The 21,833-nt window shown below is 33.0% G+C and overlaps 1 long non-coding RNA gene across 1 annotated transcript in view; it reads right to left on the reverse strand.

Annotated features, from left to right (window-relative positions):
- Positions 1-4,068: 4,068 nt before the first annotated feature.
- The window catches only part of LOC107986229 (uncharacterized), a 35,506-nt gene continuing 17,741 nt past the window's right edge, over positions 4,069-21,833 (reverse strand). Inside the window, exon 3 of the long non-coding RNA XR_001741513.2 lies at positions 4,069-7,301. This is a non-coding gene — a long non-coding RNA (uncharacterized LOC107986229). The remainder of the gene's footprint in view (positions 7,302-21,833) is intronic.

Raw genomic sequence — 21,833 nt, forward strand, 5'->3', positions numbered from 1 at the left:
TCAGAAGGCTGTCCTCTAGAGTGGGGCCTTGAAGGTCCAGATTCATGTCCTGCCAACTCAGCAACCCTACAGAATTCAGGCACTTACATCTTGGGATTGAGTCTCATTTGCCTGACTTGGGACAAGCCTGGCCCTGAGCCAGTCACTGCAGCCAAGATGACAAAATACTCTTATTGCATAACCTAAGTCATAACCCCCTGGAATTTGGTTAGGCTGGGGATGGGGGATTAGTGCTACCTTAATCTAATATGTGATGAGCTAGGTGGGGATAATTCTATTAGAAAGATCTGAGAGATACTCCTAGAAGGAGAAATGGATGCTAGGAGAAATCAAGACGGAATAAATACATATTCAGAAACGGGTGAGAGGTCAAAGTTTACACAGACCTAGATGTCTGTAAATACAAGCACACATAATAATTATTAAAATAATTTTGTATTTTCAGATATTTGGTTTACTTTCTGTCTGTTTTTAAAATTATTAAACAATCCAGGATTTGAAAACACTAAGTCTACAAACCAAATTTAATGCCCATTCTCTGCCCCCATCCCTGATCATTATCTTATACCACTCCTACTTAAAAAAAAATGTAAATTGAGAAATGGAGCAAAGCATGAGATGTTCTCTGTTGCTCAGGATAGAGTATTAAGAAATCTTTTCCGGGGAATTCCCCATGTTTCAGATAGAATAGAAGTTAAGTGGCTGATTCACGCATTCATTAACAATAGAGAGAATGTTCTGAAACACCAATCCATTCTAACCCCATCAGATCCTCCCTAATGCCTATTCTTACAAAATGCCTTGAAATTTCAAGGGTGTTTCCTGGCATTTGTTTTCATTAAATGCTAATGCACCCATGTCACTCTACTTTGTTTATGCACTATGGATGTTGGCATACTTTGTTTTAAAAAGCATTAAAGCAGCACTGAATACTCAACTCAGGTGACATCAATTTTTTCTTTTTGTTGTTGATTTCAAAGTCTACTGTTTTTAGAGTTTCATATTTCAAGCAAATTAATCTATGAAAATTATCAACAGATTGAAACTGTTGTTGAGAATGTGTTTTCATAATGCATATTTTTGATCTCTCAAAAACCTTCCAAGTCCCTAATTAATCGGGAGATGTGTGGATCAGCAGACTTCATTGCATCTTGACACCAATTATGCAGAGAATGCTTTCCCTAAGGTAGATTTTTTTATCCCTTTTGGAAACTAACTAGCTTGATCACTTATTTCTGACTCAGACCCTTCTTTATATTTACATTTACATTCCATACATCTAATCTTTGGCCTCAAAATCATTTTAATCTCCTAATTTTATTTCTCCAATACTCATTCTCCAGTAGGTCTTAATCCTTTTATGAATAGCAATTTCCTCTAAAACTTTATAAAACCTATCACCTCTTTCTCCCCTGCAAAAATGCATGAATACATCAAATACTGCTTACCGTTTATTGAAGGTTTTCATAATCACTAATCTCATAGTTACCTCAATATAAAGATATTGGCTTTTAATTTTGAAAAATATGTATTTCATTTTCCATTTTAAGTGCCTTCTTAAAAAAAATCTGTGATAATTTTTTTGTCTTCTCCTCTGGCTGACCTGATTCTTGTTGCCCCTCAGGACAATAGAATATACCTCAGAGAAAGAAAAGTACAATGAATCATTCCTTTCTTCCTGTGAGTCTTATTGTTAGGTAAAGGGATACTTTGGACTCTACTTTCTGTGAATTAGCAATGCCAGCAAAAACCAGTCATTTGTCCAGTGACACCTAAAGAATACTGGATTGGATATCTGAAGCCTAACCAAATCTCAGGGACACACCAAGAAGCTTGCCTTTCCTCTTATTCATCAAATATTTCTTGAGTGTCTTCTATGCTCAAGGCACTTTGTGTGCATTAGTTTCATTAGTAGTTTGGGCAGTGCCCCACAAATAGTAGGCACACACTATGTATTTGTTGAATGTGAATAACTAACATTTATTAATTATTATGTTCCAGGAGCTTTAATTGTCAAATCAACTTTGCAAGGTAGATGGCATTCCCTGCCTTGTACGAGTGAGGAAACTGAGGTCCATAGACTCAGGAACTTGCCCGTGGTTATGTGGTTGGCAAGTGCCAGGGCCATTATGAGCCTGGATCTGGTGCTTTAAATCACTCCATTTCAATTTCAATCCATCGTGGTAGGTAGGTAGGTAGATTGTTTAAGTCCTGTTTATGAGATGATGAAGTTAAGGTTCAGATGTAGTGAACAACTTACTGAAATGTACCTAGGACTGAGCCTGGATTATGCCTGTGTTTGATTGATTCCAAACTCTGAACTGTTGTGTGACATCACTGCTGCTTTCTGTGTTATACTGTGAATCTCATCTATGCAGTACTTCTTCCCCTAATTCTGGCACATCTCTATTCCCACAGCCATTTATCTGAAACTGCTACTTTGTCACCACGGAACAAAAATAGTGATGGCTGCAAACAAAGGCTCTTATTTTCAAGCCAAAGGCAGCCACACAGAGATTCAGCAACATCTCAGACCTCATTCACCATAATCTCTCATCAGCCAGTTTCTTACATATTTTAAACATAGTAGAGTTTTAGTTTTTTGACGCTTTCACAGCATAGCTTTGATAGAAATTAAAGCTGGGGAGGAGGAAAGCAAACTTTTTAAGCTTTTGAAGTTTATTTGATTGTATTAATTTTTCCTTGTAGGCTTTATATTTATGATTATTTTTGAAGGTCTCAAGCTTATCAGTGTGGTGATCCATTTTCCTCCAGATAGAGTGGTGGCTGCCTACAGTTAATACTTCTTAGGAAAGGCCTATGTGAGGATATCATTTATTCTGTACTATGTCATCAATCCCCTTCATCCACTTATGATTCCCACATTGCTAATTGTGAGAGTTGATGCCATTGTCAAAGGCAAGGTATGGAAACAACCAATACAAGTGTGGCTTCTGGCTGGCTTCGTGTTTCATGTGTATCACATGAAACCTGAATCTTAAAATGGATTCCTAATAATGATAACAAGCCAGGCATGTCCTGGTCTCCAGATTTAAAGAGGGATTTAAAGACATTATTAGATGACACTAAGCACCAGCTTCACCATTTGGGAGTTAAAAATCTAACCACACACTGATAGAGACAACTACAGAAGGACATAAAATAAATACAATCAAGTAATACACTGGTCAGATCCTTATTCGCCAAGAGAAACAAACATTTATTCAGTGAGACAATCTTTCCATTTCCTGTGAACATGGAAACATCATCGTGCTTAAGTGCCTAACACTAGGCAGCATACTTATTTCATATCTCTAGGCTTCAATATCTTCACTTGTTTAAAGATGGTATTCCAAAAACCATGTGTGTTTTCAGGTGTCAGTCAACATTTGAAGAATATCTTAGGACTAAATCCAAGTCCAAAGGGACATTTCCTTTTTTCCAATGGCAACTTTGTCCAAGGATGGGCAAAAATCTTAAATACAGGGTAACAAGAAATCAGGGCAGATAATTTAACTAATTTTACTGTTGATCTAAAGCTTTCTTCAACATGTCATGCAGCTATAGAATAATTAATAATGAGTGTAATCTATTTCTCTCTTGGTCACCTATTTAGTTTTCATTACGTCTATTCTTAGAAATGTGAGTACTAGGCTGGGTGCCTAGTACCCAGCCTAGTACTCACATGGATGCTTACGCCTGTAATCCCAGCACTTTGGGAGGCCGAGGAGGGCAGATCACGAGGTCAAGATATCGAGACCATCCTGGCCAACATGGTGAAAACCCATCTCTACTAAAAATACAAAAATTAGCTCAATGTGGTGGCATATGCCTGTAGTCCCAGCTACTCGTGAGGCTGGGGCAGGAGAATCACTTGAACCTGGGAGGCGGAGCTTGCAGTGAGCTGAGATCGCGCCAGCCACTGCACTCCAGCCTGGGCAACTAAGCGAGATTCTGTCTCAAAAAAAAAAAAAAGAAAAGAAAAAAAGAAAAAGAAAAAAGAAAAGAAAAGAAATGTGAGTACTAGAAGCAGATCGGTGAGGTAACCACTTTTCCAACATTAGATATGAAGTTCAAACAAAGGATATTTTAGTTTATTTTAACTGAGGATTTCCAAAGAAGCACCTTATTTCTATGTTATTTGGAATTTAGACATTGGCTTTTAGATTAGAGACATATTACGATTGTCAATTCAAAGCAAAAAAGTAAAAGACATAAATGCCATTACCTATCTGGAATATGTTAAGCAATATAAAACAGTAAAAGAAAGGAGAAAATCTTCCATTATTTGTAATGATAACAATATGCCACCTACTATATAGAGATACAATACTGCCAAACCTTCTGAATTAGTTTTTATGTGATGAGAGTGGATTTAGCCACTCCAGGACTTCTCAATCAGCTTTTCTTGTGACCAAACTCGTACACAGTCATGTGACACATAACGATGGTTCAGTCAAGGATGGACTGCATATATGATGGTGATCCCATAAGATTATAATGAAGCTGAAAAATTCCCATTGCATAGTGACATCATAGCCACTGTAATGCTGAGGCATAATTACTTTTTTTTTTTTTTATAAATTCAATGTAGCCTAAGTGTATGGTGTATAAAAATTCCACAGTAGTGTACAGTAATATCCTAGACCTTCACATTCACTCAACACACACTCACTGACTCATCAGAACAACTCCCAGCCCTGAAAGCTTTTTTTTTCATGGTAAGTGCTCTGTATGGGTGCACAAGTTTAAAAACTTTTTATACTATATTTTTATTGTACCTTTTCTGTTTAGATATGTTTAGACACACAACACTTACCACTGTGTTACGGTCGCCTACAATGTTCAGTAGAGTAACATGCTGTACAGGTTTGCAGCACAGGTTTATAGCCTAGGAGCAATAGGTGATACCTTATAACTCAGCTGTGTAGTAGCCCGTATCATCTAGGTTTGCATACGTATACTTTATGATGTTCCCACAGGATGAAATTGTCTAATGATGTATTTCTCAGAATGTATCTCCATTATTAAGCAATGCATGATTGTATTTATAAGCTAACATTAGGATGTATGCTATAGAATGAAATAAAGCCCATAAAACCATGACCTAGCACTCACTCAAATAGAGCCATAGTCACCTGGACAACAGACTAGGTTTTTATAGAATTCAAACCCAAAGTCTCCTGAACCATTTACTGAGACCCTCTTGTGCAAGATGCAGCATTAGACTTTCTGAACAGTGTCATGCAACAGACAAAGACTTTAACTCACCCACTCACATCCACACATTTAAAAAGAAAAAAAGCCAAGTTTTCAATCATGTCTGTCTCTCTACATTCTCTTTCCTCTGCTTCACTTACCCAGCACTAAAGGAGCAGAGAGATGAGTAAAATCAGACCCTTCCAGCAGGGCCAGCTTCACAGATAGACATCCTGTGTAGTAGCACAGAATCAGGTCAGAAGGGTCCTGTGCTGGATTAATGCTCTATTATCATTGTCTTAAAATTCTTAATAAAATTGTATAGCTGGTCCTACCTGTGAGGATAGATAGAACATAGCGGAGAAAACAGTCCCTTTAAGGCCTTCTTGGGGGCATTGCAATGAAGAGATCTGCCTTCTGTATAGTTGTCTAACAGATAAGTCATCAAATTGATCTCAAGGCATTCTAGGTATTTTAGACAATTTTTCAGATTATTGTCATATTTCTTAAGGGCAGATAGAAGTGAAATGTGATGTTTGTCCTTTTTTTCCTAGTTAACTATTCCTCCTAATAATCTGCTTTACAGCTGGGTGCAGTGGCTCACCCCTGTAATCCCTCCACTTTGGGAGGCCGAGGTGGGCGGATCACAAAGTCAGGAGAACAAAACCATCCTGGCCAACATGGTGAAACCTCGTCTCTACTAAAAGTACAAAAAATTAGCCGGGCATGGAGGCACGCACCTGTAATCCCAGCTACTCGGGAGGCTGAGGCAGGAGAATTGCTTGAACCCAGGAGATAGAAGTTGCAGTGAGCCAAGATGGCACCTCTGCACTCCAGCCTGGGCAACAGAGTGAGACTCCATCTCAAAAACAAACAAACAAAAAAAAAACAAAAAAAAACTGCTTTACTGATATCTCATACCAAATATAAGCTCTGGTAAAAATGATCTTGCAAACTTTCAAAGCTGCCACTTTTTTTATGTCAATTTACAGCACATGCCCATCTTTTTTCACGCTCGGAAGAATTTAGCAGCTCTTCTCAACTTTAAAACAGTTAATGATTGTAAAGACCTAGTCCATTGGAAATGCAAGAAAAACCCACATTTTTCAAGTTTTAAATCCCTCACAAATTTTACGGATACGAAAAGGAAAAAAAAACTTCTCTTACTGGTTTGAAAATGAACAGCACTGTCACTGACAACAGATAATGATCTGCAGTGCCCAGGTCACCACCTGATAGTTATTAAATGTTAACATTAAACAGGAAAGGAGAATTCTTTTCTTACAAGGCCATGACCAGATAAAAAAAACTATCTGGAATTTAGTGCCCAATTGTATACTGGAAAGTTTGGCTTTACATACAGGTAGAGGCTTGTGTGATAACATTTTGGAGATGTAGAGAAGTCCTGCTTACTCCAAATTCTTACCCACAACTTGATATTGTGTTTGGAATTCTAACGCTGGGATTTATTCTTTTGGGTTAAAAATTGCCTTATTAAGCAGTCCATGCTCCTTTGTTGCCATCACTAGTAGATCCCCTTTCTAGATGATTGGGGAGACTCAAAGGGGCATGAAAGTAAGTAAAAGACATGCTGAAAGAAGAAAATGGGCTGTAGGAAATAAAATTTTCATCATGTTTTCCTAATCAAGCCTCATAATTTTGCCCAAAACTAAAGTCAAAACCTGATGCATTGCAAGATCATTGCAGGAAGTAACAGCTTTAACATCAACAACATCAATAATACTAACAATATGTACTCTTGAGTGTTATGTATGACGTTGTCCCAAGCATACATTTTATGTGTTATCTCATTTAATTCTCAAAATAACCATATGGAGATAATTATTTGTATCAGTTCAAATGCTTTTTACTATAAGAGCTAGAGTTAGAGCCCATTCAAAATGATGTAAATAATAAAGAAGACTTTTTAAAAAAATAACCAAACATGCAGAGTTGGCTATTTCTAGAGTAAGGTAATCCAGCAACTCAGTGATGACATCAATGTTCTTTCCGCTCTGCCCTCCTGGTAATGTTTAAGGATTGTCAGTTTATGGGTCCAAAATGGCAGTAACTGCTACAGGTATCATAGCTTCATTCAATATCTAAAAGACAGAAAAGAACATGCATTTTAAGGATGAGGGCAATTTCCCAGAAGCTGTTCTGTGATTTACCTCAAGTCCTATTGGCTTTCATTTCAGGACATATCAATTTCTAAATTCATCATTCTTGCAGTGAATACAATACCCTTGACTGGCTTAAACTAATCAAGCTTTGCCTCCTGAGGCTGAGACGAAATCCAGCCATCTCTGTATATAAGGGTGTCCAAAGTCTAAACAAATTAGGAACTGTGTTAGCAAAGAAATAAGAAGGGGATGGATTTTGCATAGACAACCTAATATGTCGACCACAGACTTAGTTGGTGATGACATTTGGATAGAGCCTCCATCTGTTGGACTCTGAAGGTTATACTTTCAGCCACTGTGTAAGACTGCTTGTGTATGCACATTCATATACATTCCAAGTTTTTGAAAAAAATAATTTTTAAAGTTAAGCACCAGAATATTACCATCATAAACTTAACAAGGAAATCCAAAATGGTTTCTCTATACGTGACCTCTACTAGAAGAGAGGCAGCATTTTTGCTCAGCAGCTACAATCTTCCCAGGCATCTGTTAAGCTCTACACACTGGCAAAAACCTGGTGGGAAATTTTTGCTTGGCAAGACCACCGTGGTCATTGAAAGGAGTTCCCACACCTCTTAGAATAATGTCAGCAAGAAAGGATTAGGAGAAATCTTGAAAGGTTGCTCCCGCTTAAAAGTTGACCCCATTTGATAATGTAGTGGAGTATGAGACAACTGCTAAGTGTGGTGTATCTTTAGCCATATTATTTCCCTAAGGTAATCTTGTTTCTTACTACTCTAGGAAAACTGGTCATTCCCAAACTTCTAAATGTATTACCAAGATAACTTCTAGATTTTCTTCAGCTAATTCTCATAAGCATATATACTTTGAAGTTGGACAAAAGAATTTTTTTCTTCCAGAGAAGAAACAACTGGTTTGGAAGATATAGTAGAAATACCTATATATTGCATTCCATATTTTTTTCCCTCAGAATTATTTGATTATTTTAAAAATAGAGAGAATGGTGATGACTTTACCAAAATCTTGTATTTAAATGGAAATAGTTAATGGCAGAGAACATTAAAATCTTAGATTACTGATTCTACCTGATTGGAAAAAAATAATCTTTTGTTTATACAGGCTTCTGTGGAAATGAGCTAAAAATTGTAGCTGAATTCAACTGTTAGTAATATTCTCCAAAAATACATCAAAGTAGATAAAGAGGCTAAAAAGCCTTGCATTCATGAATTAAAAAATTGGAATTTCTAAGGAGAAAAGTCAGTTTTAGTTTTCTTCCCCTTCCCCTTTGTTTTCCTTTCCCATTCATCTCCACACTCATTCTTTCTTTGTTTAATTGTAACTATGGAGGCAAAAACTAAGTGTATGTGCTTCTTATGTCGTCCAAGTGGAGAAATTTTTAAGCAAATTAAGAATGGCCAGGAACTAAATGATAAAAATAGAGATGACTTATAACACTATGTTTACATTTATGTTATGATATGGCCTATCAGTGAACTAAACAATTTTATTTTTGTCTTGAAAAATTGGCTGGATATTTTGTTACCATGGAGAGGTAGGCTAAATTCAGCCATAAGATTCCAAGTATATTCAGTGAAAAAGAAAAGTTTGCCAACTAAATGATTTACTGTTATCAGGATCATTTTGAATATAAAGCAGAAAAATACTTTTATTATTTATAAAAAGTACATCACATTTTTTACACATCAAAGGAGAAATTTTATCAAATACTATAACTACTTGTCAGTTTATGATTTTGTGAGATATTTCATATTTAGATCACAAATAAGAATAAAAATAATAGGAAAATGTAACCAGTTAAGATTTTATTGGGTATAGAGTATCCTACAAATATTGTTTTATACACTACTTAAGCTAAATGTGACAACTTGGAAATATAAAAAGTCATAGGAAACCAAAAAGTGGTTTTGAACCCTGAAACTTCTCAAAGAAAGAGAAAATTAGATCAGATAACTTTTTTTCTTTTTCCTAGAAAACTTGGCATTAGAGTGACAATGAAGAAACTGTAGATAGGGAATGACAGAAAATAGACCATGATCATGATTTTATTCCCTACCATAAGGGTATAAATGAAAGAGCTGAAGTTATTTCTTATTTTAATATTTTGCTGACATATTATACCCTGGAGAGAACTCTTAGTAAATATCCTGTTGAATAAATGAATAAATCAAAGACATGAGTGGAACTGTCTCTAGAATCATTAAGACTTTTCCAGTGGCTTTTAAAGGAATACTTTAGCATGATATGGGGATGAAAGAGAGCTCTGGAATGAAACTAGTTAACAAAATTAACTTCTTGCCCTGAAACATAAATAAATTATAAACTGAATTCATTCCAATAAAACAATGGAATGAGATTGGGTCAGTAACATCCAAATGCAAAAATATTGTGTTGCTAATGGCAGGCATGTTTATATTTCTTTCTTTAACTGGTTTCCATTTACCAATCCAATTGCCTGTTAAGTGGAGTGTGTATCTTGGAATATACCCATGGAATGTGATCCAGGGAGACTCTCTACACCTAACCCTCCAAAATGAGTGAGTCAGACACAGCATCCATGGTGATCTACAAAGAACCCAAACATGGAAACTACCATTGTTGAAATATGACCTACTTAGATGTGTCACCTGTGGCAATGTAGAAGAACTAAGTAAATAAGTGCATATATTCTATAAATATTGGAAGATTTTCTATAGTACTTTTAATCTATAGTTGTAAATATTAATGAATGAAACTTTAGAGCATTCGAAGATATATTTGACCATATAATTATTACTTCTACTATATAGATAGAAACCTAAAGACAGCACAAACAGTAGTTCCATTTCAACAATTGTAATTTACATTTTTCAGTTATTTACATATAAATAGGTATGTTGTCTGCTCCACTCATTGACATGCGTATAGTCTCAGAATCTACTGGTTTTTGCCCACATCCTTATAATTACACAAGTAATAGTGGCCACTTTAAACTGCTTCAGATACATGCATACTGATATATCTTTACAAACCAAAAATGTAGGAAAACTATCAAGAGTAACTATGTAACGGCAATAATTGAGACACACACTAGAAACACACAATGGTGGATTTCCTACCTCTTTAAAGTTGTCCTCAGGCAAAGGCCTCAGTCACCCACCAGGAGGGAAGCTAGATTAATCATTGCTTGAACTTAGAGCAAGGTCAGGCTTCTATACCCATCACTGCCCTGAAATGGCATAGTGTACAATCTGCTTTGATTTTAATTCAAGACATTTGAAGCAAGTAGTATTATATCCACTGTTTTGCACATTAGGAGGTTGAGACCCAAAAAGCTAAGTCAACTTCAGTAGAGTCACATATCAAGAAAGTAATGGAATGAGACTTCCAACCAGATAGACTACCTCTAGAGTCATTGCTCTGTTAATCAGAAGAGAGACAATTTTTCTAACAACTGAATTAAGCTCAAAGAACCCAAAAGTTCTGAGACTTATTCTATAATAATTAAATGACACTAAAATGTTGAATTTGCTGTTATTTTCTCTACATTGGGTTAAAGTTCCTGTTCTCAGAACAGTAAAATACAATCCTGGCTGTGCCAAATAAAAAAATGAGATTATACATATAGGTATATATTTTTACACATACATAGAAAATGACCAAATGGAAACAAAAGGAACTGTTTAGTGGTTAGTTACCTCTGAGGATTTGTTAGAATGAGGACGTGAGAGGGTGAAGGATTTTACTTTTCATTCTGAACAGTTAGTTTTTTCCCAAGAGTACATATTTTTAAAAATAAAAATCAAAAAGTAACTGTCAACATCCCTGATATTCCTGCTTGTTAAGAAATATACAATATTTTTGGAGCTGAAGCAAGCTACAAGTAAGAAAGGAATCACTAGATACCAACTTTCACCTGTCCCATGAGAACAGATAGTCATTGGAAAAGACTTTAAACAAACCATATAGGATATTTGTTTGCACAAGAAATGACGGATGTACATATTACCAAGGTACTGTACGTTCTAACAAAGAGTGTAATCATATTCATTCCTGGTAATGAGAATAATACTTTGAAGAAAAATTAATGCTATAACAGTCAATAGACAACGCAACTAGCACCAAGAAAATTTCCAGGTAGTATAAATGGAAGTTGAGCAAAGTTCAAGTAAAATTGCAGTATGTGGACTGAGTTTTAGTCCAATTCTATACATCCCATAATTTCCAAGACATTGTTTAAATTGAATGAGTGAATCAATCAAAATGTTTTAATTCAATTTTTTTCTTTTTTTTCTTTTTTTTTTTTTTGAGACAGAGTCTAGCTCTGTCACTCAGTCTGGAGTGCAGTGGCGCTATCTCGGCTCACTGCAAGCTCTGCCTCCAGGTTTCACACCATTCTCCTGCCTCAGCCTCCCGAGTAGCTGGGGCTACAGGCTCCCGCCACCATGTCCAGCTAACTTTTTTTTTTTTTTTGTATTTTTAGTAGAGATGAGGTTTCACCGTGTTAGCCAGGATGGTCTCGATCTCCTGACCTTGTGATCTGCATGCCTCGGCCTCCCAAAGTGCTGGGATTACAAGCGTGAGCCACTGCGCCCGGCCAATTTAACTTTTAATGTTTTTTAAACTACCTTTTATCTATAATATGATACTGGATATGCATGCTGGTGCTTTCAGTGAACCACAGTGGTGACTTTTGGATCACAATGTCTTGCTGGAAAAAGAAAAACAAAAGTTGTATTTTTTCTGAATGAAGTTTTCATGCTTCCCCCATTCACTTAACTGGGAAAACAAATTGAAGATTCACTTTGCTTCATATATAATCTTGGGTTTATATTTGTGTCCATTTGATATTTGGTCACTTTTGTAAAATTCATGTAAAAGTTATTTTTTCTTGGAGTAAAACTTCTGAATAGTGTCAACGTAGGCACCATGCTGTGATGATAAAGACATCCTGATTATGCTTAATGATAATGATGGTGATTATGATGTCATAAGACTTGAAGTCTATAATAGAAGTATATTAATTTCTAGGTAATCTGACAGCTTCTGGGGACTCTTAACTCCAGGGATCCTCAGGTTCTGGCTAGGCATGATCCTTGTATTTAAAATGTATTCTCTTGTCTGCAAAGTAGCTGCTTTTCTGTGTTATTCTGCAAAGGATAAATGCTACTAGAATATGGACTATTTCATTTAATTTTAAGTCAGATGTAATTGACAGTAGCTAACATGTTATAGGTTCTCCACATACAGAGACTGAAAAAAGACAGAAATTAATAATGGCATGAGTGGTTATGGATATACACATGGTATGATAGTAAATTTTAAGTGTGAATTTAATTGGTCATAGGGTGCCCAGATAAAATATTATTTTTGGGTATGTCTGTAAAGGTGTTTCTGGATGAGATCAGTATTTAAACCAATGGACTCAGTAGATGCCTCCCCTGATATTGGTGAGCATTATCCAATTTTTTGAGGGCCTGAAAGCTACAAAAGGCGGAGGAAAGAGAAATGTGCCCTTTTCACCTCCTACTTAACTGTTGAGCTGCAACATATAATCTCATCTTCTCCATTCCTCAGATTTGGATTTATACCACTTCTTCACCTTTTTCTAAGAACTTTGGACTCATTACTAAATGACATTTATATACATACACGCCGATATGTACTGGTGTATATTGGCTAGTTGCTCCTAATTTTGCTAGACAAAATGGTGAAAGAAAGGATGCCCTCAAGGATTGAATTCTAAGCCAAGTGTATAAATGACATAAGATCTTCTATGTGTGCTCAGAACAAGACAATTATTTCTGGTAGCCACAGAGCTGAAATTGCTATATATTGAATGCAGATTATGGGACTTTTCGGCCTTCATAATCTCATAAGCCAATTTCTTATAATAAATATCTTTCTTTCTCTCTCTCACACACACACACACAAACACACACACAGCCATATAGATATACAATCTACTGGTTCTGTCGTTCTGGAGAACCCTGACCAATACACATAGTTTGACCTGAGCCATGGATTGACCTAATTAATTGAAATAATCAATTACTCTTTCTAATCAATAAGTGATAAAGAATACATTGTTATTTGCCTTATGTTGCATCTTTAGATAATGTGAATCTGGTTAAGAGAAAAAAAGAATGAACAGCCATGATCGTATCAGATTGTAGCATATCAATACAACACATGACATATGAAATAATGTTTTAAAAGTAACTGACAATGGTACATGTTTAGAGCAACTGGGAAATGGAAGGGAGAAAAATGAATGAATGTATGTTAGCTTTACCATTAACAGATAAGGTAAAATTGAGTACTGTTTATTTAGACAGTAGATAACTGTAGAATATGTGTGGCCTATCCATTGCTACAAGAAGAAAAGAACTATCATATTCACTCTTCATGGCCTCAGAAGTGGGCCCACCCACCTGCAGACACTATCAATGGGCCCAACCACACCCACAGGGCCCACAGATACTTTCAGACATCCCATCTTCAGACAAAAACAACTAGCCCATCTAGAATCTTTGGCCAGGCTAACTAGTGAAGGGCTTTCTCTGCCAAAGTCAGACTGTAAAGACCAGAAGGAGTGATTGCTTCTTCAAATGTTCAGATACTAATGCAAGGTCATAAAGATCATAAAAAATCAGGAAAACATGACATTGAAAATAGGAAAACAATACATGAAAAAAAATTAGAAGTTGAACAAAGTGATAGAAGCCATTAAAAATAAAAGCAGAAATGTAAGAGCTGAGGAATACAATTACTAAACTGAAAAATTCAATGGAGAACTTCAGCAGCAGACTTGGTCAAACAGAAGAAAGAATCAGCAAATTTAAAGACTGTTTATTTGTAATTATTCAGAGAAACAAAAATAAATAAAAAGAGAAAGATTAAATAGAACCTACAGAACTTATGAAACATCATCAAATATATACATTAAGAGACTCCCATAAGAAGAAAAGAAAGAGATAGAGAAGGAAAGATTATTTAAAGAAATAGTGTCGAAAACCTTCTTGAATCTGGGGAAGAAAATGAGCATTCAGACTAAGGAAGAAGAACAACAAAACACTCAAATAGGTTGAACCTAATGAGGACTACACTGAGAGATGTTATAATTAAATTGTTACAAATCAAAGACAAAGAGAGAATTTTGAAAGCAGCAAGAGAAAGGTGAATCATCACATAAAAGGGAACACTGATAAGGCTATCAGTAGATTTTTCAGCAGAAACCTTTGATGGCAGGAGAGAGTGGAATAATAATATATTTAAAGTGCTCAAAAAAAAAACCCACCAAGAATAATATACCTGGCAAAACTGTCCTTTAAAAATGAAGGATCTATAAAGACTTTCCCAGATAAACAAAAACTGAGGGACTTCATCACCACTACATTTGCCTTTTAAGAAGTGCTTAAAGAGAGTTCTGCAAGTTGAAATAAAAAGATACTAAACAGCAGCACAAATGCATATAAAAGAATAAATCTCACTGGTAAAAGTAAATATACATAGAAGTACAGAATGATGCAATAGTGTCATGACTATATATATATAATGCATATTATATAATATATTTTATATTATATATAATATATATTATATATAATATATTTTATATTATATATAATATATATTATATATAATATATAAGTTATATAATATATATTACGTATATTATATATAATATGGTATATTATATATATTATATATTATATATATGTTTTATAATATATATTATATATATTATATATTATATATATATTTTATAATATATATTATATATTAACTAAAATATGTTCTATTATATATTATATATAATATGTTATATAATATATATTAACTATAATATGTTATATTTTATATATTATATATTAACTATAATATGTTATATTATATATATTATATATAATATATAATATGTTATATTATATATTATATATAATATGTTATATTATATATAATATATAATATGTTATATTATATATTATATATAATATGTTATATTATATATTATATATAATATGTTATATTATATATTATATATAATATAACATATTATATATTATATATAATATATATAATATATTATATATATTATATATAATAATATATTATATATAATATATATAAAATAATAATATACATCAGAATATATAATATAATATAAACTACAAATAATATGTAACATATATTTATATACTTTATATAATATATAATTTATAATTTATAGAATATATAATACATAATTTATATAATATATAATATATAATATATAATTTATATAATATATAATGTATACAATAATCTATATAATATAATATATATTATATATTACTATATAATATAACATGTAATATATTATTATATAATATGACATATAATACATTATTATATAATAATATATGTTATATATTATTATATAATATAGTATGTGTTATATATTATTATATAATATATGTGTTATATATTATTATATAATATATGTGTTATATATTATTATATAATATATGTGTTATATATTATTATATAATATATGTGTTATATATTATTATATAATATATGTGTTATATATTATTATATAATATATGTGTTATATATTATTATATAATATATGTGTTATATATTATTATATAATATAATATGTGTTATATATTATTATATAATATAATATGTGTTATATATTATTATATAATATTATATGTATTATATATTATATGATATAATATGAATCATATATTATTATATGATATAATATGTATTATATATTATTATATAATATAATATGTATTATATCTTCTTATATAATATAATATGTATTATATATTACTATATAATATAATATGTATTATATATTATTATATAATATAATATGTATTATATATTATTATATTATATATACTCTGTTTCCATCTAAGTAAATTATAAATAGGTAAAGGGTTACACTGCCATTTCTTGTTTTGTTTCTGCCTTATAGTTCTTTTGTTCTTCTGCTCCTCTCTTGATGACTTCCTTTGTGATTTGTTCGTTTCCTGTAGTGATATACTTTGGTTCTTTCTTTTGTGTATTATTAGGGTGGTGGGGAATTTTCTCTTTTTGGTTACCATAAGCCTTTCCTAAAGTATCGTATACTTATTCCATGCTATTTTAAGCTAATAACATTTTAAATTCATTGCATACTAACACTCCTCTCTCCCCACACACTATATTTGTGTCAGGTTTTACTTCTTTTTATATTTATATGTATATCCATGTACAACTTTTTCAATCATAGTTATACTTATTTCTTTGGGTACTTTGGGTTTTTAACTTTTATACTAAGGTGAAAAGTTTTTTATATATATGTTATATTACATTATATATTATATAATTTATATATATACATTATACATGTTATATATATAATTTATGTATATTTATTTTATATGTATTTATTATATATGTAAATTATAATATATATATTATATATTTTATAATATATATATGAATTATATATATAATATATTATATAATATATAATATATATGAATTATATATATATTATGTAATATATACCATATATGAATTATATATATTATATAATACATAATATATATATGAATTATATATATAATATATTATATAATATATTATATATAATTATATATAAATTATATATTAATTACTTATATAATTATATATAATTATATATTATATTTATGTATAATAGTTTATATATTATAATTTACATATTATAATTTATATATTATAATTTACATATTATTATATATGATATATGATATATAATATATATTATTATATATGATATATAGTGTATATTATAGTATATATCATATATAATACTATATATTATATATGATATATAATACTATATATTATATATCATATATAATATAATATATTATATATCATATATAATATAATATATATTATATATCATCTATGATATATAACATAATATATATCATCGATGATATATATAATATAATACATACTATATATCATATATAATATAGCGTATATTGCATATCATATATATAATATAGCGTATATTACATATCATATATATATAATATAGCGTATATTACATATCATACATATAATATAGCGTATGTTATATATCATACATATAATATAGCATATGTTATATATCATATATAATATAGCGTATGTTATATATCATATATAATATAGCGTATGTTATATATCATATATATAATATAGCGTATGTTATATACCATATATAATATAGGGTATGTTATATATCATATATAATATAGCGTATGTTATATATCATATATAATATAGCGTATGTTATATATCATATAATATAGTGTATGTTATATATCATATATATAATGTAATATATGCATTATATTATATTCAGTACATCTATCTTACAAGCAAAGACACACACAGCCTCTTTATTTTTAAAGAGATGGAGGAAAATTTACTAAGCAATGGAAAGTGGGAAAAAAAAGCTGGGTTTGCAATCCTAGTATCTGACAAAACAGACTTTAAACCAACAAAGATCAAAAAAGATAAAGAAGGGTACTACATAATGGTAAAGGGAACAATTCAACAAGAAGAGCTAACTATCCTAAATATATATGCACCCAATACAGGAGCACCCAGGTTCATAAAACAAGTTCTTAGAGATGTACAAAGAGACTTAGACTTCCACACAATAATAGTGGGAGACTTTAACACCCCACTATCAATATTAGATTGACGAGACCGAAAATTAACAAGGGTATTCAGGACTTGAACTCAGCTCTGGATCAAGTGGACCTAGTAGATGTCTACAGAACTCTCTACCCTAAATCAACAGCATATACATTCTTCTCAGTGCCACATGTCACTTATTCTAAAATTAACCACATAATTGGAATTAACCCCCTCCTCAACAAATGCAAAGGAACTGAAACCATAACAGATAGTCTCACAGACCACAGTGAAATCATATTAGAACTCAGGATTAAGATACTCACTCAAAATCACACCATTTCATGGAAATTGAACAACCTGCTCCTGAATAACCCCTAGGTAGATAATGAAATTAAGGCAGAAATCAAGAAGTTCTTTGACACCAATGAGAACAAAGAGGAAACATACCAGAAACTCTGGGACATAGCTAAAGCAGTGTTAAGAGGGAAATTTATAGCACCAAATGCCTACATCAGAAAGCTATAAAGAGCTCAAATTAACACCCTGACATCACAATTAAAAGAGCTAGAGATGCAAGAGCAAACTAATCCAAAAGGTAGCAGAAGACAAGAAATAACTAAGATCAGAAAAGAATTGAAGGAGATAGAGACAAAAAAAAACCCTCCAAAAAATCAGCAAATCCAGGAGGTGGTTTTTGGAAAAAATTAACAAAATAGTTAGACCACTAGCTAGACTAATAAAGAAGAAGAGAGAGAATAATCAAATAGACACAATAAAAAAAATAAAGGCAATATCATCACTGACCCCACAGAAATACAAACTACCATCAAAGAATACTTTAAACACCTCTATGCAAATAAATTAGAAAATCTAGAAGAAATGGATAAATTCCTGGATGCATACATCCTACCAAGACTATACCAGGAAGAAGTTGAATCCCTGAATAGACCAATAACAAGCTCTGAAATTGAGGCAGTAATTAATAGCCTGCTAACCAAAAAAAAAAAAAGCCCAGGACCAGATGGATTCACAGCTGAATTTTACCAGAGATGCAAAGAGGAGCTGGTACCATTCCTTCTCAAACTATTCCAAACAATTGAAGAGGAGAGACTCCTCCTCCCTAACTCATTTTATGAAGCAAGCATCATCCTGATACCAAAACGGGGAAGAGACACAACAAAAAAAGGAAAATTTCAGGCCAATATACCTGATGAACATCTATGTGAAAATCCTCAATAAAATACTGCCAAACAGAATGCAGCAGTATATCAAAAAACTTATCCACCATGATCAAGTTGGCTTCATCCCTGGGATGCAAGGCTGGTTCAACATATGCAAATCAATAAATGTAATCCATCACATAAACAGAACCAAGGGCAAAAACCACATGATTATCTCAATAGATGCAGAAATTTTGATAACTTTTAAAGTATTGATGGAACATACTTCAAAATAATGAGTCATTTATGACAAACCCACAGCTCATATCATAGTGCATGGGCAAAAGCTGGAAGCATTCCCTTTGAAAACCGGTACAAGACAGCTGGGTGCGGTGGCTCACGCCTGTATTCCCAGCACCTTGGGAGGCCGACGCGGGCAGATCACGAGGTCAGGAGATCGAGACCATCCTGGCCAACAAGGTGAAACCCCATTTCTACTAAAAAAAAAAAAAAAAAAATACAAAAAAAAATTAGTCGGGCATGGTGGCGGGCACCTGTAGTCCCAGCTACTTGGGAGGCCGAGGCAGGAGAATGGCATGAACCCAGGAGGCAGAGCTTGCAGTGAGCCTAGATTGTGCCACTGCACTCCAGCCTGGGCAACAGAGCAAGACTCTGTCTCAAAAAAAAAAAAAAGAAAAAAAAAAGAAAAAAAACTGGTGCAAGAAAAGGATACCCTCTGTAACCATTGCTATTCATCATAGTGTTGGAAGGTCTGGCCAGGGCCATCAGGCAAGAGAAAGAAATAAAGGTATTCTTACAGGGAGAGAGGAAGTCAACTTGTCTCTGTTTGCAGATGACATAATTTTTTATTTAGAAAAGCCCATCATATCTGCCCAAGAAATACTCGAACTAGTAAGCAACTTCAGCAAAGTCTCAGGATACAAAATCAATGTGCAAAAATCACAAGCACTCCTTTACATCAACAATAGGCAAGCAGAGAGCCAAATTATAAATGAACTCTCACTCGCAATTGCTACAAAGAGAATAAAATACCTTGGAATACAGCTAAGAAGGGAAGTGAAGGACCTCTTCAAGAACTACAAACCACTGCTCAAGAAAATAAGAGAGGATACAAATGGTTCCCATCCTCATGGATAGAAGAATCAATATCACGGAAATGGCTATACTGCCCAAAACAATTTATAGATGCAATAGTATTCCTATCAAACTACCATTGACATTCTTCACAGAATTATAAAAAACTATTTTAAATTTCATATGGAATCAAAGAAGACCCCATATAGCCAAGAAAATCCTAAGAAAAAGAACAAAGCTGGAGGCATCATGCTACATGACTTCAAACTATACTATAAGGCTACAGTAACCAAAACAGCATGGTACTGGTATCAAAACAGATATATAGACCAATGGAGCAGAACATTGACCTCAGAAATAACACCACACATCTACAACCATCTAATCTTTGAGAAATCTGGCAAAAACAAGCAATGGGGAAAGGATCTCCTATTCCATAAATGGTGCTGGGAAAACTGGCTAGCCATGTGCAGAAAACTGAAACTGGACCCCTTCTTTACACCTTATACAAAAATTAACTCAAGATGGATTTACGACTTAAATGTAAAATCCAAAACCATAAAAACCCTAGAAGAAAACCTAGTCAATACCATTCAGAACATAGGCATGGGCAAAGGTCTCATGACAAAAACACCAAAAGTAATGCAACAAAAGCCAAAATTGATAAATGAGATCTAGTTAAACTAAAGAGTTTCTGCACAGCAAAAGAAACTATCATCAGAATGAACAGGCAGCCTACAGAATGGGAGAAAATTTGTGCAATCTACCCATCTGGCAAAGGTCTAATATCCAGAATTTACAAGGAACTTAAACAAATTTACAAGAAAAAAAAACGACCCCATCAAAAAGTGGGCAAAGGACATGAACAGACACTTCTCAAAAGAAGACATTTACATGACCAACAAACATGAAATAAAGCTCAACATCACTGATCATTGGAGAAATGCAAGTAAAAACCCAATGAGATACCATCTCATGCCAGTCAGAATGGCTATTATTATGAAGTCAGGAAATAATAGATGCTGGTGAGGCTTTGAAGAAATAGGAATGCTTTTATACTGTTGGTGGGAATGTAAATTAGTTCAGCCATTGTGGAAGACAGTATGACAATTCCCCAAGGATCTAGAACCAGAAATACCATTTAACCCAGCAATCCCATTACTGGATACATACCCAAAGGAATATAAATTGTTTTACTATAAAGACACATGCACATCTATGTTTATTGCAGCAGTATTTACAATAGCAAAGTCATGGAACCAATCCAAATGCCCATCAATGATAGACTGGATAAAGAAAATATGGTACATATACACCATGGAATACTATGCAGCCATAAAAATGAATGAGATCATGTCCTTTGCAGGGACATGGATGAAGCTGGAAGCCATCATCCTCAGCAAACTAACACAGGAAAAAAACACTGCATGTTCTCACTCAGAAATTGGAGTTGAACACTGGGAACACATGGGCACAGAGAGGGGAAAAACACACACTAGGGACTGTTGAGGGGTGCATGGTGAGGGGAGGGAACCTATAGGATGGGTCAATAAGTGCAGCAAACCACCAT

The sequence above is a fragment of the Homo sapiens genome, chromosome 4 (assembly GCF_000001405.40).
Source record: "Homo sapiens chromosome 4, GRCh38.p14 Primary Assembly".
Taxonomy (NCBI): Eukaryota; Metazoa; Chordata; class Mammalia; order Primates; family Hominidae; genus Homo; species Homo sapiens.